Source organism: Homo sapiens, chromosome 9 (genome assembly GCF_000001405.40).
Source record: "Homo sapiens chromosome 9, GRCh38.p14 Primary Assembly".
Classification (NCBI taxonomy): domain Eukaryota; kingdom Metazoa; phylum Chordata; class Mammalia; order Primates; family Hominidae; genus Homo; species Homo sapiens.
In genome coordinates, this window is record NC_000009.12 from 136,400,174 (window position 1) to 136,424,920 (window position 24,747).

The 24,747-nt window shown below is 55.4% G+C and overlaps 2 protein-coding genes across 16 annotated transcripts, besides 11 other annotated features; one reads left to right on the forward strand and one right to left on the reverse strand.

Moving 5' to 3' along the window:
* Positions 35 to 244: a silencer, noted in NCBI's record as "silent region_20513". NCBI's record gives its function as "represses an Ori minimal core promoter by ATAC-STARR-seq in GM12878 lymphoblastoid cells {active_cell/tissue: GM12878}" and the evidence as "EXISTENCE:reporter gene assay evidence [ECO:0000049][PMID:35858748]".
* Positions 210 to 1,146: an enhancer, noted in NCBI's record as "H3K27ac-H3K4me1 hESC enhancer chr9:139294835-139295771 (GRCh37/hg19 assembly coordinates)". NCBI's record gives its function as "activates a minimal SCP1, AML or CMV promoter by ChIP-STARR-seq in naive H9 embryonic stem cells {active_cell/tissue: H9 hESC(naive)}" and the evidence as "EXISTENCE:reporter gene assay evidence [ECO:0000049][PMID:30033119]".
* Positions 395 to 444: a silencer, noted in NCBI's record as "silent region_20514". NCBI's record gives its function as "represses an Ori minimal core promoter by ATAC-STARR-seq in GM12878 lymphoblastoid cells {active_cell/tissue: GM12878}" and the evidence as "EXISTENCE:reporter gene assay evidence [ECO:0000049][PMID:35858748]".
* On the reverse strand, positions 1,749 to 10,441 carry ENTR1 (endosome associated trafficking regulator 1). Of its 11 annotated transcripts, none has more exons than XM_005266050.5 (10): positions 10,155 to 10,441; positions 9,917 to 10,066; positions 8,826 to 8,894; positions 7,653 to 7,765; positions 6,972 to 7,388; positions 5,732 to 5,805; positions 4,945 to 5,029; positions 4,458 to 4,520; positions 3,882 to 4,021; positions 1,749 to 2,714 (listed from the first exon to the last, which is right to left on the reverse strand). In XM_005266050.5, the coding sequence occupies exons 1-10, from the start codon at positions 10,222 to 10,224 to the stop codon at positions 2,615 to 2,617; spliced, it is 1,281 nt and encodes a 426-aa protein (XP_005266107.1). In that variant the 5' UTR covers positions 10,225 to 10,441; the 3' UTR covers positions 1,749 to 2,614. The 11 variants fall into 11 exon arrangements, 10 of the variants coding, with proteins under 10 accessions (XP_005266107.1, NP_001034796.1, XP_047278612.1 ...); NM_001039707.2 differs by having other exon boundaries at positions 4,918 to 5,029; XM_047422656.1 differs by lacking the exon at positions 9,917 to 10,066.
* Positions 4,942 to 5,011: an enhancer, noted in NCBI's record as "active region_29306". NCBI's record gives its function as "activates an Ori minimal core promoter by ATAC-STARR-seq in GM12878 lymphoblastoid cells {active_cell/tissue: GM12878}" and the evidence as "EXISTENCE:reporter gene assay evidence [ECO:0000049][PMID:35858748]".
* Positions 6,750 to 7,338: an enhancer, noted in NCBI's record as "H3K4me1 hESC enhancer chr9:139301375-139301963 (GRCh37/hg19 assembly coordinates)". NCBI's record gives its function as "activates a minimal SCP1, AML or CMV promoter by ChIP-STARR-seq in naive H9 embryonic stem cells {active_cell/tissue: H9 hESC(naive)}" and the evidence as "EXISTENCE:reporter gene assay evidence [ECO:0000049][PMID:30033119]".
* Positions 9,544 to 9,703: an enhancer, noted in NCBI's record as "active region_29307". NCBI's record gives its function as "activates an Ori minimal core promoter by ATAC-STARR-seq in GM12878 lymphoblastoid cells {active_cell/tissue: GM12878}" and the evidence as "EXISTENCE:reporter gene assay evidence [ECO:0000049][PMID:35858748]".
* Positions 10,064 to 10,113: a silencer, noted in NCBI's record as "silent region_20515". NCBI's record gives its function as "represses an Ori minimal core promoter by ATAC-STARR-seq in GM12878 lymphoblastoid cells {active_cell/tissue: GM12878}" and the evidence as "EXISTENCE:reporter gene assay evidence [ECO:0000049][PMID:35858748]".
* Positions 10,254 to 10,343: a silencer, noted in NCBI's record as "silent region_20516". NCBI's record gives its function as "represses an Ori minimal core promoter by ATAC-STARR-seq in GM12878 lymphoblastoid cells {active_cell/tissue: GM12878}" and the evidence as "EXISTENCE:reporter gene assay evidence [ECO:0000049][PMID:35858748]".
* On the forward strand, positions 10,485 to 23,588 carry PMPCA (peptidase, mitochondrial processing subunit alpha). Of its 5 annotated transcripts, none has more exons than NM_015160.3 (13): positions 10,485 to 10,566; positions 11,824 to 12,026; positions 12,317 to 12,396; positions 12,637 to 12,719; positions 14,380 to 14,474; positions 16,118 to 16,218; positions 16,778 to 17,041; positions 17,844 to 17,936; positions 18,382 to 18,500; positions 18,655 to 18,745; positions 18,871 to 18,933; positions 21,659 to 21,803; positions 22,922 to 23,588. In NM_015160.3, exons 1-13 carry the CDS (start codon positions 10,496 to 10,498, stop codon positions 23,089 to 23,091), a joined length of 1,578 nt encoding a protein of 525 aa, NP_055975.1. In that variant the 5' UTR covers positions 10,485 to 10,495; the 3' UTR covers positions 23,092 to 23,588. The 5 variants fall into 5 exon arrangements, with proteins under 5 accessions (NP_055975.1, NP_001269875.1, NP_001269873.1 ...); NM_001282946.2 differs by having other exon boundaries at positions 14,382 to 14,474; NM_001282944.2 differs by lacking the exon at positions 14,380 to 14,474.
* Positions 10,554 to 10,643: an enhancer, noted in NCBI's record as "active region_29308". NCBI's record gives its function as "activates an Ori minimal core promoter by ATAC-STARR-seq in GM12878 lymphoblastoid cells {active_cell/tissue: GM12878}" and the evidence as "EXISTENCE:reporter gene assay evidence [ECO:0000049][PMID:35858748]".
* Positions 10,674 to 10,723: an enhancer, noted in NCBI's record as "active region_29309". NCBI's record gives its function as "activates an Ori minimal core promoter by ATAC-STARR-seq in GM12878 lymphoblastoid cells {active_cell/tissue: GM12878}" and the evidence as "EXISTENCE:reporter gene assay evidence [ECO:0000049][PMID:35858748]".
* Positions 15,785 to 16,984: an enhancer, noted in NCBI's record as "CDK7 strongly-dependent group 2 enhancer chr9:139310410-139311609 (GRCh37/hg19 assembly coordinates)". NCBI's record gives its function as "activates an origin of replication core promoter dependent on BRD2, BRD4, P300/CBP, MED14 and CDK7 cofactors, with strong dependence on CDK7, by STARR-seq in HCT116 cells {active_cell/tissue: HCT116}" and the evidence as "EXISTENCE:reporter gene assay evidence [ECO:0000049][PMID:35650434]".

The window sequence follows — 24,747 nt, forward strand, 5'->3', positions numbered from 1 at the left end:
CTCGACGCTTCCGGCGGCTGCAGAACAAGAGCGCCGCGCGCCGGAAGTCCCGCCTCCTGAGGCGCGGGGCACGCCGGGACGGCCGCTGCGGCCTGCCGGGACTAGAGAGGCGAACGGCTCGATGCTGCCCTCGCGCGGCCGCCCTGGGGGCCGCCTCCGCGCGCTCTGGAGGGGCGCGGGTGGACGCGGGACCTCAAGGCAGGGGACAGACAGGGACAGGCACCCGGCCACCTGGTCACGATCCGGAAGACCGGCCCTTACTGGCTGTGACCTTCGGCCATCGCTGGACCTCTCTGTGCTTGTTTCATCCTCTGTTAACGGACATGTTGGGGTTTGGTTAAGCAACGGATGAGAAAGTCTACGTGAAAGGCTTTTTCCCCAGCCTGCCCTGCATGCTCAGGATCGCCGAGGCCAGGCCGATCTCCAGGCACGTGCAGGAGACTGAGGCCAGAGGGTGGGGGCCCGCACCACACAAACTCGCTTCCCTGGTCACCTGTGCACACCCTCTGGGGTCTCCTGGCCTGGAGAGCTGCCCCGGGGCCCTCCCCTAAGTGGGCATTCATTCCTTCAGGAACGTGCCAGGGCTAACTCGGCCGGGAGCTGGGCAGGGGCCTACAGTTCCTGGCTCCTGAGAGCTTCTAAGTATCGGTGCTGCAAAGACATCCTGGGCCCAGCCAGTTGAGGGGGCCTCCACTCCAGCCTGGGGTGAGCTAGGGGCATCAGCTGGAGAACTATAAAGAGGGTTTGCCCTGCCTACCTAGGAGGTGGGCTTTTGGTGGCAAAGGGCTAGGCCCAGGTGAGGCCAAACTGGGAGCTAGGGATTGGCAAGAAACAGATGGAGGGGATGGAACCAGGCGGCTGGGGGCTCCTCGAGCGCCTCGTTTCAGTCCCTGCATCGGGCTTGAAATCTGGAGGCAGAAGGCAGGCACTAAATACCGCGCCACAAATTGTATTTTTAAACTTCTTACTATCAAACGCTTCAAACACAGACATCAAAAGAGAGGGGTGCGCAAAACCCACATGCCCATCCCCACCGCGCTTCCCTGGGCCCCACCTGCTCCATGAGCTGCTGGCATGAGGGCCAGGGGACCACCCCACTTCACACGCATCTGGTGGATGGGACCCGCCTGGCGATCTGGCCTTTGTGACCCCCACCCCATCAAATGCTGTCTCTCCCAAAGGGCCTCAGGGAAGGCCTGTGGCCTGAGGCATCCTCCCCAGATGCCCCCATCCTGCTGCTACAGGGCTCCCAGAGCTGCCTATACACTCAGAACCTCATTCCGGCACTTCCCAACCACAGCACCCTGTCTCAAGTCAGCTCTGCCAACAGAATCCAGAGCCTGCTTTCACCAACCAGCAGGAGCAGGAGGCGCATAGGGCTACGCAGCAGGACCGCTCCACAGTGACTGCTGGAAAGCTCTGGCCTTCACCTGTAGCTAAGGCTAGGGGTCTAGCAATTCAGACGCCTTGTTTGAAAAATTCAACCACATGATCCGAAAAGATGATCCAATGCTAGAATCCAGTCTGTCCAGCTCTGAAACGTGCAGCTGCGTGACTCACACGTCCATCACGTGTGGGTCCCAGTGGTCAGGCCCAGGCAGCAGTGGTCTGAGTCTGCCCCTAACCCCAAGGGCTGAGGACCTGGAGAGAATCTGCCAGCACAAGGCACCAGTTAGGGCAAGAGCAAGTGAGGTGTGGAAGCCCACGGCGTTCTCCAAGGACTGGCTAAGTCAGCAGAGAAGAGACAGTGCGGTGAACTACAGAATTTATTAAATAAGAAAGCTATCAATTGGAACAGGAGGAAAAAAAAGTTTTAAAAAAAATCTATAGGAAAATAGTCAAAAAAGCATTTAGTGCTCATCGCCGTCCCTCTGAGGGGGGCCGTCAGAAAGGCAACTGGGACCTGACAGACCCGGGCACATACTTGAAATTCCTGAATTCTAACCTGCATTGTACAAAATGCCACTTGAAACGTCCACCAGAACCCCCAGCCAAAGAGGCACATCTGGACAGCTTCACAGCACGGAACGTGTGACCTTGGTCCCCGTGGGTCCCGGAGGAGGACAGCAGCAGCCACGCGGTGGCCCCTGCGCACTCAGGCCATGACTGCAGGGACCACCCACTGGGGCCACAAGAGTGACCCGGGAGCCAGAGGGAGCCCTGAGCATCGGCGGAAGGCACAGGTCCCTGCCCGGGGTGGCCATCTCAGAGGCACATTTAGTGTTTGTTCTACTTATGAAATCAAGGACAACCAATTGTACTTATCTTACAACTGATGTTCTGGGATGGGACTGGAAAACATTGATTCCAGAACCACTCTTTTTCTTAAAATCACTGGCTTTTATGACAATGTCTTCCAAGAGCTCATTAGAATCTATAAGATCGCAGGAATTTCGCCAAGAAGGGCTGCATAGAAACCACAGAGACAACTCGGCCAGGGCTGCTCCCATTGTGGTGGCCAAGAACTGGCTGAGGGCACGACACTGGACTCTTGCGATCAACACTTTACTCTGGGTGAAGACTGCATATTTAAGGACACAACTGCACATTTAGATCGAGCGGTGGTGACCTCAGGGTATACACGGAGCTTCATGCTGAGAACACCCAGGGGTCCTCAAGAGTCTTCCTCCTCGTCTTTAACTTCAGAAATTCTGTCTATAGATTTAAGGATTTCGGCAACAAGATTCAGTGTCTCAGCTCCGGAAACCAGTTGCCTGAAAACAAGCATGGATATCAGGATGGGTGGCAGCAGCTACTCAGCAGCAACAGGGTTCTGGGGGGAGAAAGGGGAGGGGTTGGTAGGGGGAAAAAGGGAGGGGTTCCAAGGGGTAGGGAAAGGGGAGAGGTTCTGAGTGGGAGGAAGGCGAGGGTTTCCAGGGGGAAGAATGGGGAGGGTTTCCACAGGGGGTGGGGGGCAGAAAGGGGAGGGGTTGGTAGGCAGAAAAAGGGGAGAGGTTCTGAGGGGGAGAAAGGGGAGGAATTCCGGGGGTGGGGGTGGGGAAGGAAGGGGAGGGTTTCCAGAGCGGGGAGGGATTCCACAGGGGAAGGGTTCTGGCGGGGAGAAAGGTAAGGGGTTCCAGGGAGAAAGGGACAGAATTCTGGGGGGAGAAACAGAAGGGGTCCCAGGGAGCAAGGGGTGGGGTTTGCCGGGGGGAGAAAGGGACAGGGTTCCAGGGAGCAAGGGGTGGGGTTTGCCGGGGGAGAAAGGGACAGGGTCCCAGGGAGCAAGGGGTGGGGTTTGCCGGGGAAGAAAGGGACAGGGTTCCTGGGAGCAAGGGGTGGGGTTTGCCGGGGGAAGAAAGGGACAGGGTTCCTGGGAGAAAGGGAGGGGCTGGGGGAGAACCACAGGTTTTCCACTCCTAGCTCCTCTTGGAGGAGACCCACACCTGACTTCACAGGAGACGGCTCCCTTGTTCACAGGGAGTGCTCTGGGGGCCAACACCGCCCTGCAGAGCTCAGCCCAATGGGTGGCAGACACTCACCACTGTCACAGTCATGGTGGCTGGCGTGTCCCCAGCCAGGCACAGCAGTAAGGGCCTTCTGGGAAGTGGCTTTTTCAGCAGGAGGGAAACCCCCACTATTTCCTTTATTCAGAGCTTCAGCGCCCACATGGGGTGGGGCTGAGGTTCAGTGCAGGGTGCTGTGGCTGTCTGCACCTCCCAGGTGGGATCAGACACTGCGAGGCAGGTTAGAAAGCCTGTGGTCTGTCCACACAGTGACCCAGAGAGCTAACAGGACCACTGAGCACGCGTCCCTCCCTGCAGCTCCCTGGTCCTCCAGCCACGGTGCCATCAGCCTGGGCCCCCACCCAGGATCACTGACGACCACTCCAATCTCACCCCTTTCCCCGCCAGGCTTCCCGGTGCCTCCCAGGCACTCACTTGATGGAAGCCTGTGCACTGTTCATGACCACCCGGAGGTTCTGCAGGGCCACGTCGGCGTTCTGCTTCACCACGGTCAGGCTGGCACCCTGGCCGCACCGCAGGGCTTCATTCTCTCGCTGGAAGTTGGAGACCTGCGCCTGGGGGGACGGTTACGGCTAAGGACAGAGCAGCTCCGAGGCAACCCGGCTGAAAGTCACCACCTGGCGAGGCGAGGGCTTACCCGTGGGGGCCTGGCACTCAAGATGCATGCTCTGGCCTAACTGGGGGCTCGCCTCTGGGACTGGGGGCCTAATGGCTTCCCCTTCACTCCAGTATATGCTCAGCACCTAGCTCTATGGCAATAGGGACTCCTACAAGTGGATGCCCCGTGCCAGACCCCAAACTCCCAACAGAGCTCCAGGGCCTCCCTCTGCTTCACGCCCTGACAGGAAGCGGCTGCTGTCCTCATTTGAAGTCCTTTCTCTGCTTGGGCTCAGGGGAAACCCCAGCAGAGTCTTTCGCCTCTTTCTTACTGAATTCATTATGTGACTCCACAAATCAAAGAAAAACACTGAAGTCCCTTCCTTTAATTACCTGGAGCAAACTGATTTCCTGTTTTAGTTTCACGACGTGGTTTTCTGCCTTTACAGCCCGTTTCTGTTACCCAAAAAAGAAAAACCACAAAAAGCATCACTGATGTCCTCACATTCATACCGGACACGGGCCCCAACCCAGGGAGCAGGAGGGCACCCAACCTGGCTGTGGCCCTTCACAGCCCCTGTGCCCCTCCCAGTCCCGCCTCCACTCTCAGACCACCCCTGGGAAGGGCTCATCGTGCAGTGTCTGTGCTCTGGCCCCCCACTCCCCACGGATGCCCTCGTGGGCCAGCTATCCCCAGGCACAGCGAGACAGCGACGTCAAAGAACACCAGTCCCAGAGAGCCACATGGCCCCGCTCCCAAGGGCAGGCTGCACCGGCTGCTGAGGACAACAGCACTTTCTCAGGAGCGCTCCTGCCCCACCCAGCTCGTCCGATTCAGAGAAGAAACCCATACGGTCATCAGCTCCAGGTTCTGCTCCACCTGCTGAACCACCGACTCCAGGTCGTGGTAGTCGCTTTCCTCCTTGATCATTTTTGCTTCTAACTTCCGCTCAAGCGTCCTCACCCTTGTTAAAGAAAAACCCGAGTTGTTAATTTCTGTGGCTACTTTTAAGAGGACTACAAAAAGATACCTCATGAGCCAGATAAAACCCGCTAAGAGCCTGTGATGGAATGGGTCTCAGGCACAGAGGGGAGGCAGCGGCAGCCTCAGGCCTGGACCTGTAGCCACCAGGCAGGCGTGCAGGGAGCGGCTCTCACAGCACTGCTGCTCCAACAAGGTGTTTGGTGGCTTTTTGCCTAAAGTTTAAAATAAACCTTGGCCAGGCGCCGTGGCTCATGCCTATAATCCCAACACTTTAGGAGCCTGAGGCAGGAGGATTCCTTGAGCCGAGGAGTTTGAGACAAGCCTGGGCAACATAGTGAGACCCTGTCTCTACAAAAATAAGATTTAAAAATTAGCCAGGTGCAGTGGCAAACGCCTGTGGTCCCAGCTACTCAGGAGGCTGAGATGGGAGGATTGCTGGAGCCAAGGAGGTCAAGGCTGCAGTGAGCCGTGATTGCGCCACTGCACCCGAGCCTGGGTGACACGGCAAGACTGTCTCAAAATAAACTTTTAGGCAGAACACAGAAATGTGTTTGATGCTGAACATTTATATACAATAAAACCCAGATCTGGTTTGACTCTGATTACTTCATTATCATTTAAAAACGGATTTCCCTGTGTATTAGATGTTGTGGATTGCATTCCTAACTAAAAGCTTACATACATTTCTGTTTGAGCTTCAGAGAAGCTCTGAACCTCATTCAGCTTTCTTCTCAGCTTAGAATTTTCATCTTTCAGCTGTGGAGAGAGAACATCCTTATTAGAAAGTCAGCATGTCTGGCTCAAAAGGGCGTGTGCTTCTGCGGTGTGGCTCCAGAGCCTCCTGATAAGCAGAGATGCTGGGTCAGTGCAGCATCCACCTGCAGCCACTACAGAGGGAGACCACAGACGGAGGCAGGCACTTTTCAAAGACCTGTGGTCACAGATGCCAGTTAATTTTACTCAGAGGCCGGGGGCAGTGGCTCGCGCCTGTAATCCCAGCACTTTGGGAGGCCGAGGTGGGCGGATCACAAGGTCAGGAGTTTGAGACCAGCCTGGCCAACACGGTGAAACCCCCGTCTCTACTAAAAATACAAAAATTAGCCAGCAGTGGTGGCGGGCACCTGTAGTCCTAACTACTCGGGTGGCTGAAGCAGGAGAATCACTTGAACTCGGGAGGCGGAGGTTGCAGTGAGCCGAGATCGTGCCACTCCACTCCAGCATGAGCAACAGAGTGAGACACTGTCTCAGGAAGAAAATAATTTTTCTTTTTTTTGAAACAGAGTTTCGCCCGTCGCCTAGGCTGGAGTACAGTGGCGTGACCTCGGCTCACCGCAACCTCCGCCTCCCGGGTTCAAGCGATTCTCCTGCCTCAGCCTCCCAAGTAGCTGGGACTACAGGCGCCTGCCGCCACGCCCAGCTAATTTTTGTATTTTCAGTAGAGACAGGGTTTCACCATGTTGGCCAGGCTGGTCTCAAACTGCTGACCTCAGGTGATCCACCCACCTCGGCCTCCCAAAGTGCTGAGATTACAGGCGTGAGCCACGGCGCCCAGCTAAAAAATTTTTTTTTTTATTCAGAGCTTATAACCTTTTAGGTGATTATAATTTTTTAAAAATTTTCCTCCTCTTGGAATACTTAGCAAGCTGGCGACTGCAGCCTGCCTTTACTGAGGGTACAGCCCTGTAAGTGCCCAACTGCATCCAATTCACAGCTTCTAGCTCACCAGTCCTCTTTAGCCGGTTCTATTCCCACGTGTAACCAGAAGCAAAGTCAAAGGGAAAGTGGATAGCAGGCTGTCACGCAAATCGCCTTGTCCTGGAAATCAAACCAGGCCACCCAAGAGGTAGGATGGCTCCAGGTTCTCCCCGGGAGAAGCCGCTCGGACAGGCGCTGTGCCAGAGGGCGCCGTGAGGCTCACTTACTGCGTCGTAACTTATCTGCAGCGTCCGCAGGTGCCTGTCTCCCAGAGACTCTCCATGAACCGCAAAGTCTGCGCTAGGACTCCCTGCCGGAGAGGCCGGAGACACGCGAGAATCAGTGTCACTCAACGCCCACGAGGGCAGAGACTCAGGCCCTGCCAGCTCCGACGGGGTGGAGAAAAAGGAAAGGTATGTGCTGCAGGGCGACGTGCCGGCAGGGACCCTCTCGGGGTGAGTCTGCTCGATGGCGGACGGCAGGTAGGCCCCACTCCATCCGGTGTCCTCATCCTCCTCCTCATCCAGGAGGTCACCAGCCCCTGTCGGATCCTCGAAAAATGGCTGCTGATACTCCAGGCCATACCCGCCGGTTTGGGAGGGTGGGGAGTTGTGGTCAAGTCCCAGGGAATGCCTCGAGGCTTCCTAAAAAAAAAAAAAAAAAAAAAACAATGGAGGCCATGCTTCTGACTCGGAGCGCATCTTCCTTTCTGTGTTCTGCCTCGCAACAAGAAGAAAGGCCCAATCTCTCTACCGGAAGGAGCCCAGCAGCTTCTGAGCCCAGAGCTGCTCCCCAGCACTGACGCCTGCCTGCTCTGCCACACTCATGCACGATTCCTCCAAAGGAGGCTGCAGAGGCCGGAACAGAAACGTCCCACAGAGCCATCGCCCACAGTGCCGTGGATTTACCTTTGCATAAATTCTGCTGGCCGGATCCTCTTTCGAGAGGCCGAGGTTCTTGGTCTTCAGAAACTCTCTAAAAGAGAATGGATTTGCCTCTTCCAGATCTTCAAATCTGTCATCTGAAATAACAGACATCACAAATGCATAAAGTCTACTGAAGAGCGTTGAAAGGGAACCTTCCTGTTCACCTGTCTTTCCAGAGCATGGCCACATGTGAGATCGGGCAGCCACGCTTGTCATTCTACCATGACTCAGGCAGCACTAGGAAGTGTGAAGGTGGCTGAAGGTGGGCAGTGACACAGACGTGCGTCTGCATTTGCAATCTTCTCCTTCCACCCCTCGGCCCCTGCTCCCACACTGTGCTGCTCACTAAAGCTCCCCTGGGGAGCTTTAAAACGACCCAAGCCACTCCACTGCACACACCCAGCTCCCTGGTGTGAGGTCAACCTGTGCTAGGAGCTCTCAAAGCTCCTCAGGTGGCCAGGTGTGGTGGCTCACGCCTGTACCCCAGCACTGTGGGAGGTCAAGGCGGGCGGATCACGAGGTCAGGAGACTGAGACCATCCTGGCTAACACGGTGAAACCTCATCTCTACTAAAAATACAAAAAATTAGCCAGGCGTGGTGGTGAGCGCCTGTAGTCCCAGCTACTCGGGAGGCTGAGGCAGGAGAATGGCGTGAACCTGGGAGGTGGAGCTTGCAGTGAGCCGAGATCGTGCCACTGTACTCCAGCCTGGGCGACAGAGCGAGACTCTGTCTCAAAAAACAACAACAACAACCAGCTCCTCAGGTGCTGCAACGCTGGGGACCCAGTGCCCCCTGACCCTCTTCCCGACTTTCCTACCTAGGTAGCCTAAATAACGCCCACTTTTCCCTTCTCCCTCTTGCCACCGCCTTCCCACCCTCCGGGGACTTAAGCAGCCACACTCGACCCTCCCAGCTGTGAGCCCCATGTAAAGCTGGCTCCTGTGGCCCCAGCCCCCCAGGTGGGGCTTCCCCGCTCCCTGATGTCACCTCGCTGCTACTCTAGGATCAAGACTGAACCCTTGAAATCCCACCCCCACCTGCTCTTTTGGGCTCCAGCTACACCACATAGCCAGTCACATTGACAGTCCCACCAGACACGTGCCTGGCACTGTGTTGGATGGAGACAAGAAGAAAAGGTTGCTGAACTACTCTACCTCCAAAATGTGTCCCGTGGGCTCCTGACGGGCTCTGCTTAGAACATTTCCCCTTTCCATAGCCAAAATCTGCAAAGAAACAATGTCACCCACCATGCTGGCAGGAAGTCTTTATGACCTCACATTTGGTTTTTTTCTTTTGCACATGGAGTCTCCACTGCAGTGGTTCTCACAGTCTAGAGAACTTTTTTTTTTTTTTTGAGACGGAGTCTTGCTCTGTCGCCCAAGCTGGAGTGCAGTGGTGCGATCTCGGCTCCCTGCAAGCTCCGCCTCCTGGGTTCACGCCATTCTCCTGCCTCATCCTCCCGAGTAGCTGGGACTACAGGCACCTGCCACCACGCCCGGCTAATTTTTTTGTATTTTTTGTAGAGACGGGTTTTCACCCTGTTAGCCAGGATGGTCTCAATCTCCTGACCTCATGATCCGCCTGCCTCGGCCTCCCAAAGTGCTGGGATTACAGGCGTAAGCCACTGCGCCCGGTCAGCCGAGAAAACTTTAAAAAAAACACAAGCTCCCAGACTTGTGACCCTGGAGATGGCCTGACTTGCAGACTGGCCCTGGTGTCCGTGGTCTGAAAGCGGCTCCTCAGCAGATTTTGAAGCCCAGCCGGGGCAAGCGCGTCCTCTTGTCTTGTGACAACCCCCGAATGTCCTCAGATCCTGGCATAACCACACAAACACTCCTGCACACCCCGGGCACCCAGCAGCACTTCTGCTTGGGTAGAACGAGGACGAACCAGATCTGGCCACTGCCCGGCTGTGGAGGCAGATGGAATGCTCCAGCTCGGTTTCCAATCACTGCCCACTAGGTGAAGGCACCCCGACTCCAGCCCCACGAGGAAAGCGGGCGGGCTCCTGTGCTCCCCGGGCACTAACCATCCTGTACTGGAACTGTCTGTCTTGGGGGAGGTCTCCCCGCAACCAGACTGTGAGCTCCTAGCAGGGGACTCCGCCTTTGAATTCCGAGTGCCTGGCACGCAGTGAGCGCTCTGCACATTGATGGGTCAATGGACGAGCTCGTGCTGCAGCGGAGGTGCCACACGTGGCGCGGGAACTGGAAGCGTCCCCGGGGCCGGCGCCCTCGTCTCTCACCTGTGTCTCCCACGGAAGCCAGCACCGGGCTGGGCACATAGCACATAAAGGCCGGCCGAATGCCGAAGAAGGGGGAGTCCAGGTCCCTGCCATGGGGGCGCTCACAATTTAGCTGGGGGAGACAAGACCGGCGCTCATAGAACGCTGGAGCTGGAAGCAACGACAACAGCGACTTTACTGCGTGCCGGGGCGGCCGCCGCCCACCTGGACCGCTGGACTCGGCCCCTGCCCCGCTCACCGTCGGGAATGGCGAGGCTCCGGGCTCGGGACAGCGGGGTGGCGCCCGGGCGGCGCTGGTAGCCCGACATCGCCGCCGGCCCGGCGGGGCACGACCTGCCTAGCCCGGCAGCGGCGGCTCCATGGCCCCGGCTCCGCCCGTGCCGCGGCCCGCGTCGCCCGCCCCCGTCGCCCGCCCCCGTCGCCCGCCGCTCGGCCGCCCCCGCGCCTCCGAGCCTCTCGCCGCTGCTTCCGCTCCGAGCACCGAAAGCGCGTGCCTGAACGCCTTGGGCCGTCGGCGAGGGGGAGGGGAAGCCGTGGGCGGAAGCGGAAGTGACGACTGAAGCGGGGCGGAGACGCAAGATGGCGGCTGTGGTGCTGGCGGCGACGCGGTTGCTGCGGGGCTCGGGTTCTTGGGGCTGTTCGCGGCTGAGGTGAGCCAAAGGCGAACCAGGCTTCGGCCTGGGGCGGGGGCGGCTCGAGTCTTTCTGGACGCTCCGTCTTCGGTTTCTACAGGTGACATGGCGCCCGTGGGACGGGCTCGCACTTCGGGACACTGGTGTCCCCGAGGCGACGGGGGCCCTGCCTTGCTTTGCGCCTCGAGCCCGGGGACGCAGTCCCATCTGTCTCTCCTCTCCCCGGCTGCTGGGTCCTCTCCCCCCCTCACTTCCCGGGTCGACGGGCCTTCTCCGAGGCCATGCCTCATATTTGCCCCCGCGCTTCACCTACCGCGTGCTCCTTCAGGAGGCTGAGCCGGTGGGGGCCCAGCTCTGTTAGACCCGCAGGGTTCTGACACCAGGGTCCAGGCTCTCGGTTGCTGCGGTCTGTCCGTTGATCTCTGACGTTTAAGAACCCTTTCCGTACCCACCGCTCCTCCCACCCAAGTGACCGGGCCTGCCTTTCCCCACGCTGGAACTTTGTTCCGACAGCACAGGCGTCGCCCCTCCCCACACAACGAGCGCCGTTTCAGGGGTGCGGAGGTGCTGCCTCCAGGAGATGGATACAGGCTGGAGCGTAAACAAAATATCGGCAGTCGCGTAAATGCTTTGGAGTAAACAAGCAGCCTTTCATGATAGAAAATAGCAGGAAAGACTAGACTGGTGAGGGATAGTCCTCCATCAGGGTGACATTTAAGGGAAGAGCTGAAGAATGAAAGAAGGGGTAGGCATGGGCAAAGGGCAAGCCCTGGAACGGTGAAGAAGCTTTGGGGTTGATGAGTCAAATGTGTTCCAGGAATTGACAAGAATCAGTGTGACCAGGACCTATGGGAGTGTGGGGGTTCAAGAGATGAGTTTGGAGAGGGAGACAGAGGCCAAGTCACACCCCGCCTTCGGACCAGGTTAATAAGGGATATGGCTTTTATCCAAGACTTCGGTGGTGCTGTTGGAGGGCAGAGCTGTTAAGTGCTTTATGTGTACAAACTGCACTTAGAGTGAGTTACTGTTAATAAGCCCTGTTTTTACAGAGATAGCAACTAAGACCCAAAGGACGGAACCAGCTTGCTCCAGGTCCCGTGGCTGAGCCTTTGTTGTCAGCCTCTGCTTTGTCTTCCAAAGTCTGTAGAAATAAGTCCTGTAGAAAGGCAGATGCTCACTTTTAACCCAGACAAAACATAACTAACCGCACCTAACAGGTCATCACAGGTTTGTTGTCTCAAGCCTGTTGTAACTGGGCCGCTTTCTCTGTTTTAGGTTTGGACCTCCTGCGTACAGACGGTTTAGTAGTGGTGGTGCCTATCCCAACATCCCCCTCTCTTCTCCCTTACCTGGAGTACCCAAGCCTGTTTTTGCTACAGTTGATGGACAGGAAAAGTTTGAAACCAAAGTAACCACATTGGATAATGGGCTTCGCGTGGCATCTCAGAATAAGTTTGGACAGTTTTGTACAGTAGGAAGTAAGTACTGTTGTGTTGTCGTGGGTGGTCCCGCAGTTTTAACATGCACATGCTTTAGTTGACTGTTAGTTGTAATTAGCATGCCAATTATGAATTGTACCCTGAGTGGAAACAAAGTGTACGATTTCATAAATGTTGAGCTACACATATACCTGTGAAACCATCAGCACAATCACCCTCATGTAATTAAATCTGATTATCATGTCATATTGACATCTTAAAATGTTTCTCTTGATTAAATCTTATTTTGAATATCTGATGTAACCTGTCAATTTTCTTTTTACTACTAGTTCTTATCAATTCAGGATCGAGATATGAAGCGAAATACCTTAGTGGAATTGCTCACTTTTTGGAAAAATTGGCATTTTCGGTCAGTACCCAGTTTTGTAATTTTTTAGACTATACTTTTGAAGGATGTTTGAGATTTTTCTTGTCTATAATGGTTATTTTAATAAATTATCAAGTTGCTAAGTTAATGTTAATAAAAGACTTTTAAGTTAAAAGATAATTTTTGTATGTGTGTTAAAAGCAAAAGTAGATTTTAAAAAAAAATTGTGTTTCAGGGATAGCCTGGATTGCTTATTTAGGTTTCCTTATTTATTTTTACTAGTCTACTGCTCGATTTGACAGCAAAGATGAAATTCTGCTTACGTTGGAAAAGCATGGGGGTATCTGTGACTGCCAGACATCAAGGTACACCAGCTTTTGTGTACAAACTGACTTTGGGTCCTTGGGAACTGACGTTCTTGTCGTTGCTCAGATTCCCTCTGAGCCCCTCCCAGCGGGAGGTGTGGAGATTCACGGGGAGAAGGAGCCCTGTCCTGGATGGAGACTTGGGTGGATGGCGCTTACACAGAGAAGCACAGCCCCCAGGAGCTCAGTTGACCCCCGTCAGTTCCTCCAGGCTGTTGGCTGCATGCCAGGGATGTAGAGCAGGCCCTGTTCCCAGATAGAGCAGAGGGCCTTGCATACGTAATGGACCCCGTAGCCAAAGGCGGTAGGAGCCAGGAGGATGAGTGGCTGACTTGGTCTGGAGTTGGGAAAGGAATCATAGGAAATGCAGGGTTGGGCTGGTTCCAGAAGGAGTTTGCTAGACACACGGGGCACAAGGCATTCCAGACCAGGAGACAGCAGGGGCAAAAGGCACCGAGCCAGGGAGGTGCCGGCTGCTTGGTGGAGGGAGGGGGCAGTGTTGCCTCGAGCACAGTGCAGTGGTCTTTGCATGCCAGGTGTGGAGCTTGTTCAGAAAGCACTGGGCAATGTGAGATGGGTGAATATAGATCACAGATTTTTAAAATTGTTGATTTAAGTTTGAATGCTAAAAAAATTACACATAAAAGACACATTAAATGCTAAGAATTAAAGTTAGCTTGGAGGTAACATATTCATGTTCTAAAACAAGGCCTCTTAATACCCCCTGACTCCCAGCTGCCCCTGCCAGGTTCCTGCCTGGTGTGTTTGATTCTCCGACTCTTGCCTCGAATCTCACTCATCCCAGATGAACTCCTTTCTCTGGCCAGGTGGCTGGTGTCCTGACTCAGACCCAGCCCCCCTCGCCCTCAGCTCAGGCTTTTGTTCTTGCCATTCTCCCCATGTGGAGAGCCAAAGTCACTGAGAATGGCTCCTCTTCAGGGTGAAGGTCCAGCCAAGTCCCCTCTTCAGAGGCACTGGTGACTGCGTCCTGCCTCCCAAGCTCCCTCTTCTTCGTGGCTGTTGCGTCTGCTCTGCATGGTCTCCCTTGATCACACTTGATCTCAGAGCACCCCATGATTTCGTGCCTGTCCCATGGGCCAGCTCTGTGCACTTCTGACTGTGCAGTGCCTCATGCCGGGAACAGATGTTACAGTGAGACAAGCTCCATACGAGCCAGCCATTGCTGTCCCCCAAGCCAGCCAAGGCCGGGCATGTTTCCACACTCACCAGTGGGTTCGTTCAGTCAACAGGAGGCTGGGATGAAACACTTCACCTTTTGAGAGAGAGTATAGTTACAAAAATCTGTATCAGAAGTGGCTCCATTTTGACTCAAGCTGTGTGTAGCTGTGAGTCCTGCCTACCAAGCATTCACACTGTAAGACAGGAAAAGAGAAAGGGGAAAAGTGTCTGCTGTTCCCCGATGAAGGGTAGGAGGTGTCCCCTGGCACGCAAAGCCCAAGCGTCCCTGAAATGTCTGCTGGGCCCCAACAAAAGGTAGGTGCCCCTGGCATGCAAAGCCCAAGTGTCCCCTGGCTGTTGAGCAGAGTGTGAGCTCAGGGCCTGGCATTGTCCACCTGGCACGCAAAGCCCGAGCGTCCCCTGGCTGTTAAGCAGAGTGTGAGTTCAGGGCCTGGCATTATGGGCTTGTGTTTTCTTCCAGAGACACCACCATGTATGCTGTGTCTGCTGATAGCAAAGGCTTGGACACGGTGGTTGCCTTACTGGCTGATGTGGTTCTGCAGCCCCGGCTAACAGGTGTGGATCCCAGCCGCTGGCGTTTGAGGTGGGCTTGGACATAGGGAAGACCGGAAAGGTTTGCAGAAGCCCTGTAGCCATGAGGGAGAGCACCATGTAATTGGAGCTTTAGGCCAACACAAAGTGACAGCGAGATCTCATAAGAAATAGCGCTGGGGCTGGGCATGGTGGCTCACACCTGGAATCCCAGGACTTTGGGAGGCTCAGGCAGGCAAATCGCTTGAGCCCAGGAGTTTGAGACCAGCCTGGGCAACATGGTGAAACCCTGTCTCTACAAAAAAGATACAAGAATTAGCTGGCTGTGGTTGCTTACACTTAGAGTCCTAGCTACTCGGGAGGCTGAGGTAGGAAGATCGTTTGAGCCTGGGAGGTTGAGGCTGCAGTGAGCCATGATTGTGCCACTGCCCTCCAGCCTGGGCAACAGAGTGAGGCTTTGTCTCAAAAAAAGAAAGAAAGGAAAAAGAAATAGTGCTAGTAGCCAGGCGTGCTGGCTCACGCCTGTAATCCCGGCATTTAGGGATGTAGAGATGGGAGGATCACTTCAGCCCAGGAGTTCGAGACCAGTCTGAGCAACATAGCAAGACTCTGTTCTCCACAAAAAGGAAAAAAAACCCACTGGTGATTGTAAAAGTCCTTAGTGTTTGAGAGAATGTGTATTTGAGACATCTGTGCCCTCATCCCTGTGGGATGTTTTTAGCGAAATTGGTTCTTTGATTTCGGAAGGGCACCTCGGACCGTCTTTAAACAAGTGGAATGGTGTGTGCCAGAAATTTCCATTTCACTGTTTCCATTACCCTCCTCAGCCTTGCAGATGGCAGGACTTTGAGTCCCTGTCAGGGGTGGACCAGGAGAGGGGAACGTTGGCTTTTCCAGATACCCTAAGGGTGCAGTTTCACAGCAGCTTGCGCTTGGTGTTCAAAGGCTACAGTCCCACGTTAAGATCTTGTGGTCACAACTGATGAAAGGCGCCCTTGACATCTGTCTGTGCCTCTGTTTCTTTTTGGAGATAGAGTCTGTCTCTGTCACCCAGGCTGGAATGCAGTGGCGCGATCTCGGCTCACTGCAACCTCCACCTCCCAGGTTCAAGTGATTCTCCTGCCTCAGCCTCCTGAGTAGCTGGGATTACAGGCGCCCGCCACCGCGCCCAGTTAATTTTTGTATTTTTAGTAGAGATGGGGTTTCACAGTGCTGGCCAGGCTGGTCTTGAACTCCTGACCTCAGGTGATCCACCCACCTCGGCCTCCCAAAGTGCTGGGATTACAGGCGTGAGCCACCGCACCCAGCGTGTGCCTCTGTTTCTAAGCACCTTCATGTCTGGTCTCGTGTCCTCACAGCAGCACTTGGGACAGACAGGTCCAGTGTCTTCGGTGCCTTTCACCAGCAAGGAAGCCAGGGCTTAGCAGGCTCACGTGGCTGCTTCATGGCTGAGGCGGGATGTGAGGCCCAGGTCCCCTAGCTCCTGCTCCCTGTAGCAGTCCCCCTCACTCACACAAGCACCCAGTCTGCCCCTAGATGAAGGCAGAGGTGACTGCCAACAGCCACCAACAGGCGACACTCAGGCCAGCACACAAGCTGTGGGTCACTGCTGTGTTCCTCATCTCTGCCTGTGCAGACTCAGCCCTGGCCTTTGGGTTCTCTTGCAGATGAAGAAGTCGAGATGACGCGGATGGCGGTCCAGTTTGAGCTGGAGGACCTGAACCTGCGGCCTGACCCAGAGCCACTTCTCACCGAGATGATTCATGAAGTAAAATGTCAAACTCGAGAATGCCCCCGCATCTCGAACAGTGGTCCTCGGGACACCAGGGGTGGTGGGGAGGGTGCCTCCGTGATGTTGTCCTTGCAGGTTATGGATATATACAGAACATTTTTTTGTTTTTTGAGATGAGGTTTCTCCACATTGCCTACGCTGGTCTTGCACTCCTGGGCTCAGCTCAGGTGATCCTCCTGCCTCTGCCTCCCAAGTAGCTGGGATTACAGGCGTGAGTCACCGCACTCAGCTTAGAACATTCTTGATTTCTGAGTCTGCTGTTTATACAATGTTCGTATTTTCCAGTTTTTATAGTAACTAGGTCTTTACTACTAAACACAATTAATCTTAGGCTTTTTGTGAATTTGTATTCTGGAGAGGCAGATTTTACTCTTTATAAATACGCACGCAGCTGCTATTGCCAGAGTGCAAGTAAAATATCAGCTTGCGTCGGATTTTCCCAGGGCTGGCTGCAGATGGGCGCTGGTGCTGCTTGTTGGAGGAAGCCTGGTCATGCTGTCTTCAGTCACCTGTGTCTGTGGCTCTTCCCCATTAGGCGGCTTACAGGGAGAACACAGTTGGCCTCCACCGTTTCTGCCCCACAGAAAACGTAGCAAAGATCAACCGAGAGGTGCTGCATTCCTACCTGAGGAACTACTACACTCCCGACCGCATGGTGCTGGCCGGCGTGGGCGTGGAGCACGAGCATCTGGTGGACTGTGCCCGGAAGTACCTCCTGGGGGTCCAGCCGGCCTGGGGGAGCGCAGAGGCCGTGGATATTGACAGATCTGTGGCCCAGTACACTGGGGGGATTGCCAAGGTGAAGTAGCGGGAACGTCTCATGGCCTCGGGTGGGGAACACGTCCCCTGGCCCGTGGTGTGACCTGTTTTTGTATTGATTCTGAGGGTGATAGGTGTTGACTGCATGTGTAGCTTTGCCTTAACACATGCTGTAGTCCCACAGCAGGGCATGGACTGTGTCCCCTGCTGAGAATGAGTGCTGCTAGGCCTGAGAGCAACACAAAAGGTGGATGCGGTTCTTTCTCTAGGGGAGTGGGTCTGCCACTGCGTGTTGCATTTTTTTTTTTTTTTTTTAGAGATGGAGCCTCGCTCTGTCACCCAGGCTGGAGTGCAGTGGTGCAATCTCGGCTTACTGCAACCTCCACCTCCCAGGTTCAAGTGATTCTTCTGCCTCAACTTCCCGAGTAGCTGGGATTACCACCACGCCCGGCTAAATTTTGTATAGAGATGGGGTTTCACTATGTTGGCCAGGCTGGTCTCGAACTCCTGACCTCATGATCTACCTGCCTCAGCCTCCCAAAATGCTGGGATTACAGGCGTAAGCCACCACGCCCAGCTTATATGTATATACATATGTTTTTTTTTTTTTGTCTTTTTGGTAGAGGTGGAGTTTTGCCACATTGCCTAGGCTGGTCTTGAACTCCTGGACTCAAGTGATCTGCCCACCTTGGCCTCCCAAAGTGCTGGGATTTTAGGCATGAGCCACTGTGCCTGGCTGGCATTGGATTTCTGTGTAACCACTCTGAAGATGATCTCATCTGGGGTTTGCGAGCCCTCATTGTTTTTCACATGGCGACACTTGCTTGTTTTCTTGGTTACAGCTAGAAAGAGACATGTCCAATGTCAGCCTGGGCCCGACCCCCATCCCCGAGCTCACGCACATCATGGTTGGACTGGAGAGCTGCTCCTTCCTGGTGAGTCCTGGTGCTGGGTCTGATGGCGTTCCTGATGCAGTGTGGCCGGCTCAGCCAGCCCTGCCCTCTGTCCCTGGCATCCGACAGCGCTCCTGATGGGGCGTGGGCGGCTCAGCCAGCTCTGCCCTCTGTCCCTGGCATCCAGCAATGCTCCTGATGCAGTGTGGGCGACTCAGCCAGCTCTGCCCTCTGTCCCTGGCGTCTGACGGCGCTCGTGACACAGCGTGGGTGGCTCAGCTAGCTCTGCCCTTTGTCCCTGGCATCCGACGGCGCTCCTGACGCGGCATGGGTGGCTCAGCCAGCTCTGCCCTCCGTCCCTGGCGTCCAGCGGCGCTCCTGACGTGGCTTGGGCGACTCAGCCAGCTCTGCCCTCCGTCCCTGGCGTCTGACGGTGCTCCTGACGTGGCGTGGGTGGTTCAGCCAGCTCTGCCCTCCGTCCCTGCAGGAGGAGGACTTCATCCCCTTTGCAGTGTTGAACATGATGATGGGCGGAGGTGGCTCCTTCTCGGCTGGTGGGCCCGGCAAGGGCATGTTCTCCAGGCTCTACCTCAACGTGCTCAACAGGTGGGTTGCACTCTTTTCTGTATCCTCAGGCCACCAGGCCAGGCCAGGTGTGTTTTTGGACCATGAGGCCACCTTCCAGGTGACTTTTCTCCAGTTTCCCATGGCCTGATCCTGGCGAGTCCCCTTCACTCCCATGACTCTCGCTTCCTCCCAGGCACCACTGGATGTATAACGCGACCTCCTACCACCACAGCTACGAGGACACTGGCCTCCTTTGCATCCATGCCAGCGCCGACCCAAGACAGGTGAGGGCCCCGCCTGCCACCGTCCTCAGTGCGGTTGCCTGTCCAGACCTGGGCGTCCCTGCCTAGACGGGTCAGTAGGCCGGCAGGCGCAGGCCACACTGTTATCGTCTTGCCCTTCTTCGCAGGTTCGAGAAATGGTAGAAATCATCACAAAGGAGTTTATTTTAATGGGCGGAACCGTGGACACGGTAAGTGCAGTGTGGCGCCATTTCCAGGCGTACCTGTGGTGTCTGACAGGAGACAGCCACGTTGTAGGAGTGGCCACCTGTGGGCCTGGTCCCTGAGCCTCAGGGCCAAGGTCCCGGCAGGGCAGGGCAGGGCAGGGCGGCCAAGGAGGCACAGCCTGGGGCTGAGCTGCTCCACCTGGGAGCCCGCTGAGGCTGTTCTTCCCTGGTCCAAACCCCGAAAACAGAAAAACAGACCACCGCCCTCCCCCAGTGCTCGGTCCACTACTTCTTTCTCTGAGCCACTGGGTGAGTCGTGGGACTGACCATGTGACTCTCTCAGCTTTGCTGGCGAAACGCTGCAGGAGTTTTTGTGTCCTTCTCAGCCGCCTCTGTGAGGTGACTGGGGTGAAGCAGCTCGCACAGGTGGGCTGCAGCGTGGGGTGTCTCGAGCCTTTCCCTGGCTCCATTCTATGTTTGAAACTGTATTTGTTTACCAATTTTTTTTTGTTCTTTTTAAGATGGAGTCTCACTGTCTCACCCAGGCTGGAGTGCAGTAGCTCAAATTCGGCTCACTGCAACCTCCACCTCCCGGGTTCAAGCGATTCTCCTGCTTCAGCCTCCCAAGTAGCTGGGATTACAGGCATGCGCCACCATGCCTGGCTAATTTTTGTATTTTTAGTAGAGACGGGGTTTCGCCATGTTGGCCAGGGTGGTCTTAAACTCCTGACCTCAAGTGATCCGTTGCCTTGGCCTCCCAAGGTGCTGGGATTACAATTACAGGTGTGAGCCACCATGCGTCCCTGTTTACTAATTTTTTAAGCTTAGTTTTTGATGCTTTACACATTTGGGAACCTCGTTACTTCCTGGACCAGAAGTGGTACAAATAAGCAAGTTTTATACACACACTTTTTTTTTTTTTTAGACAGAGTCTTGCTCAGGCTGGAGTGCAGTGGCATGATCTCAGCTCACTGCATCCTTCCACCTCCCGGGTTCAGGTGATTCTCCTACCTTAGCCTCCTGAGTAGCTGGGATTACAGGCATGTGTCACCACCCTAGCTAATTTTTTTGTTTTTTGTTTTCTGTTTTTTTTTTTTTTTTTTGAGACGGAGTCCTGCTCTGTTGCCCAGGCTGGAGTGCGGTGGCATGATCTCAACTCATTGCAACCTCCGCCTCCCGGGTTCAGGTGATTCTCCTACCTCAGCCTCCTGAGTAGCTGGGATTACAGGCACCCACCACCACACCTGGCTAATTTTTTGTATTTTTAGTAGAGATGGGGTTTCACCATGTTGGCCAGGCTGGTCTTGAACTCCTGACCTCAAGTCATCTGCCCATCTCGGCCTCCCAAAGTGCTGGGATTACAGGTGTGAGCCATTGCACGCAGCCCCATGGCTAATTTTTGTATTTTTAGTAGAGACAGGGTTTCACCACGTTGGCCAGACCGGTCTTGAACTGCTGACCTCAGGTGATCCACCTGCCTTGGCCTCCCAAAGTGCTGGGATTACTTTGGGATCCCGGTGTGAGCCACCGTGCCCGGCCAGGAAAAAAAGCATTCAAGAAATAAAGTTGTGGTTAAATTAATACGCTTCAGTTCCACTAGTGCACTGCTAGAAAAACAGTCCTCCACTAACGTGAAGTCAACTTGAAATAAATATGAAGTATTTAGGTATTTGCCTAAAGTTGCAAAAAGACCTAAGAATTGTTTTACTTAAAAGAAATGGTATAGAGGCCAGGTCCGGTGGCTTATGCCTGTTTTCCCAGCACTTTGGGAGACCAAGGTGGGAGGATCACTTGAGCCCAGGAGTTCAAGACTGACCTGGGCAACATAGCAAGACCCTGTGTCTATTTAAGAAAAAAAAAAAAAAGTGTAGCATCTCTGCGGCCCATCAGTTTTTGGTGTTTGTTTTTCAGTATGCTGGCTCCTAGATCTGCATGTCCTTCTCACAGCACCCCTGCCTGTGCCCTGAGACAGTCTGAAGGCAGCCTAGGACCCGCACTGCCTCCCTCAGAACCTCCCAGGGACTTTGCTAAAACCAGCTGCCTGGGCCCTGCGCCGGAGGCGTCTGGGGAAGCCCCAGAACCTGTGTTTCATTTGTTTTCCCCGATTTTGCCGTGTGGCCACTTTGGGGCCCTGGCATTTGGGAGTTAACTATTTTACCTTCTCCCGCTGCATGTCACACAGACAATGAAGAACTCAAGGGAGGCACATTGCTCCTGTATTTCAAGTGTGGTAGAAGCCGGGTAACACGTAGCACAGCCCTTCCCTAAAAAACCTGAAGGGGAGACCAGCAGGGTTGCCTGTGACTTGGGCCTGGGTTCCCGTTTTTTTTTTTTTTTTTTTTTTTGAGACAGAGTCTTGCTCTGTCGCCCAGGCTGGAGTGCAGTGGTGCGATCTGGGCTCACTGCAAGCTCCGCCTCCCGGGTTCATGCCATTCTCCCGCCTCAGCTTCCTGAGCAGCTGGGACTACAGGCGCCCGCCACCACGCCCAGCTAATTTCTTTTTGTATTTTTAGTAGAGAAGGGGTTTCACTCTGTTAGCCAGGATGGTCTCAATCTCCTGACCTCGTGATCCGCCTGCCTCAGCCTCCCAAAGAGCTGGGATTACAGGCGGGAGCCACTGCGCCCGGCTGCCCTTCCCTTTCTTATGTTCAGCTTTGGGCACAGAGATGGCGTTTTGCCATTGCTCGAGTGGGGGGTGGAAGGTGGCACGGGGCGGGTGTGTGCTCACCTGACTGGACCCTGGCCCCAGGTGGAGCTGGAACGAGCCAAGACGCAGCTGACATCAATGCTCATGATGAACCTGGAATCCAGGCCTGTGATCTTCGAGGATGTGGGGAGGCAGGTGCTGGCCACTCGCTCCAGAAAGCTGCCGCACGAGCTGTGCACGCTCATCCGTGAGTACCGCAGGGGTAGTGAGGGGCTGCCGCAGGCCTCGGCCAGGCTCAGAGGAGGCCGTCTCGCCCTCCCGCAGGCCGTGGTGGGCCTGTGGTATGTCCATCACACCCAGAATCTGGGGCCTTCACCAGTTGTCCTCAGCAGGGGCGGCCAAGGGCAGGGTCGTGGGGTCGCAGACCTGGTCTCACTTCCCGGCCCCACCATGCACCTGCTGCCTCCTTGGCAGGTGACCCCACCCTCTGCACCCCTGGGAGGGGCTGTCACTACTGCCCAGAGTTGTTAAAGAGCACTCAAGTTAGTAGGCGAGAAGGGCTCAGTAGAGGACTGCTACATTGTACGTGGAGTAGCAGTGGCTCGGAATGCCGCTGTACCGTTGCTGGCTCTCGGGCAGGAGTCTCAGCCCCAGGTTTCCGGGGCCCCCATGAGTGACCTTAGGAGGTCTGAATTTCCTGAAACTGCCAAGTTGTATGTGCATCGGACTCTTCTGGGGGACAGGCTTAAAACCTGGCAAGGCTGCCTATTACGTTGGGGTGGCTCGGGCTTATGGTGTCACCTGTGGGCATCTCCTTTCCAGGCCTGGAGTCCCGGGCACTTGCCCTGTCCCGTGTGGGCCCTCGTCCTTCCCTCAGGAGCCCCCGCTTAAATCCTCAAGCGAGTGTCCAGCCTCTCTCGGGCCTCGTTTTCTGTAGAAAACAGACCCACCTGGACCCTATCACTCCTGTCCTGGGGTTCCTGGGTGCAGCCCTTTGGCCTTCTCTCACCCCACCCTTCTGTCCATGCGGCCCTCGGGGGCTGGGGGTTTTTTCTGCAGGCCGTCCTAAAGTGAGTTCATCAGACACGGAGCTCGCTCTTCTGTAAGTGTAACTCTTCTTGGGTGGCTTTGTCCTATATTTTTAAGTCATTGCCATGTCCCCATTTACTGAGAACTCAACGTCTGTCACTTGTGGACTCACCCTTGGCTACACCCAGTGGCTGCCTTTGGGCCCAGGTGCCCCCATCAGCAGCACAGCGTGAGTGAGTGGTACAGACCAGCCGCCCCCTCCGTGTGTTTACTGATGCAGCCTCAGCGTGGGGGCCGTGGCGCGCTCGTGTGACACGCGTTTGCCCTCTGCACTAGGCAACGTGAAGCCGGAAGATGTGAAGAGAGTCGCTTCTAAGATGCTCCGAGGGAAGCCGGCAGTGGCCGCCCTGGGTGACCTGACTGACCTGCCCACGTATGAGCACATCCAGACCGCCCTGTCGAGTAAGGACGGGCGCCTGCCCAGGACGTACCGGCTCTTCCGGTAGAACCGCTCCCCGGCCTGACAGACCCAGGGAGCTGCAGCTGGAGCCCGTTCCCGTGCGTGTTAGTTTGGACACGAATTTAGTCTAAAAAGCTGTCTGGTTGTATAAACGGTGCAAACAATGTCGCCACAGCACCCACGCGGTTTGCATTCTTTTGGAACTCAATGTGCCGATCAGTGGAGTCAGTATCGAGCCTGACCACCGCAAGCCAGGAAGCAGGTGAAGTGCCCAGCGCTGGAGTGCAGCGTGCCACGAGGAGGGCGGTCGGTGCTTCCCTCCTCGGGCTGTGGGCACATGGGGCCCCGCAGGTTCCTTGGAGGAGCCCTGAGCTGGGAGGCAGCAAAGGCTGACCTATCAAAGCCTCCCGGAGGCCACCGTGCTGGGTACCAGGACTCACCTCTGACAAGCAGGAGAAGGTAAGGGCCCGGTCAGCTCCAAGGAGCGCGCTCCACGCGCGTGCACACAGCTTCCCTGGTAATAAAGAGCTGGCATCTTTCTTAGCACGGTGTTTTCCTTCTCGCCTGGGGAGGGGCGGTTCTTAAGGGCTGTCTGAATTGGCAGCTTTTCTAACATGGAGGCCTTCCTCCCTGTCAGTCGTCCGGTTTGACCCCGTGTCTTGAAGCCTGTTCTCGTGCGACGTGCTGATGTCAGGGGTGTCGCAGCATGCATGGGGTGGGGTGACGGGGGGTAATGGTGACCGGCAGCGAAGCCTGCAGGTGCCTTAGAGGTGGGGAGCACCGCCAAGCCGAGGAACGGCCGCAGATGTGGGTGTTTCCAGAGATCCGAAAGGCCGCATGGCTTAGGGAATAGCGGCTACGGGGTAGCCTTTCATGTGGTGTAAAAACTTGTACAAGAGGCCGGGCGCGGTGGCTCACGCCTCTAATCCCAGCACGCTGGGAGGCCGAGGCGGGCGGATCACCTGAGGTCGGGAGTTTGAGACCAGCCGGACCAACATGGAGAAACCCCGTCTCTATCGAAAATACAAAATGAGCTGAGCGTGGTGGCGCATGCCTGTAATCCCAGCTACTTGGGAGGCTGAGGCAGGAGAATCGCTTGAACCCGGGAGGCGGAGGTTGCCGTGAGCCAAGATCGCGCCACTGCACTCCAGCCTGGGCAACAAGAGTGAAACTCCGTCTCAAAAAAAGAAACAAAAACAAGCAAAAAACGTGTACAAGTTAAAACTTGTAACGTGGTTCTCAAACACCCATAGAAACCTCGGGAGCTCCAAGGGGTGTGGGGAGGTCGGGCCTGGGAACCTGCATGGGCCACCTGCGGTGCTGCCTGTAGTCCAAGGGTAGCTTCCTACATGTGTGACTCCGTGGGCTGCACAGAGCTGTGTGGCACAGTTTTGTCAGGAGGAGAGAACGTCTCTGGTCCTGTCTTTTGAGTAGCTGAGAGGTGCAGCCTCTTTGCAGGACCGATGGGAGAGGGAGTGGATATTTTCAGGAAATTAAACTTGTAAGCTTTACTCCTCTTAGCCTCTTACTGTCCTCTGGCTGTTGTAGTTTCTGTAAGACCTGGTGCCTTTACAACACACACACTCCAGCGACGGTGACTGCTTGAATTTGCCCATGTGGGAAGCGTCAGCTTGCTGCCCACCTGGTGGGATTGGAGGGCCGGAGCCGGAGGACGATGGTGTCTGTTCTAACAGTGGACTTC

Bases quoted from the DNA above. Each gene is read 5' to 3' on its own strand.
- PMPCA (XM_005266059.4), top strand. From the start codon at position 10,496: ATGGCGGCTGTGGTGCTGGCGGCGACGCGGTTGCTGCGGGGCTCGGGT. The intron at 12,720-14,379 runs GTACACCAGCTT...GTTTTCTTCCAG, and splicing joins TGTGACTGCCAGACATCAAG to AGACACCACCATGTATGCTG. The intron at 18,934-21,658 runs GTAAGTGCAGTG...CCCTGGCCCCAG, and splicing joins TGGGCGGAACCGTGGACACG to GTGGAGCTGGAACGAGCCAA.
- ENTR1 (XM_017014218.3), bottom strand. From the start codon at position 10,224: ATGTCGGGCTACCAGCGCCGCCCGGGCGCCACCCCGCTGTCCCGAGCC. The intron at 5,806-6,971 runs GTAAGTGAGCCT...CTCTCTCCACAG, and splicing joins TGCAGATAAGTTACGACGCA to CTGAAAGATGAAAATTCTAA. The intron at 4,521-4,917 runs GTATGGGTTTCT...TTTGGGTAACAG, and splicing joins AGAACCTGGAGCTGATGACC to AAACGGGCTGTAAAGGCAGA.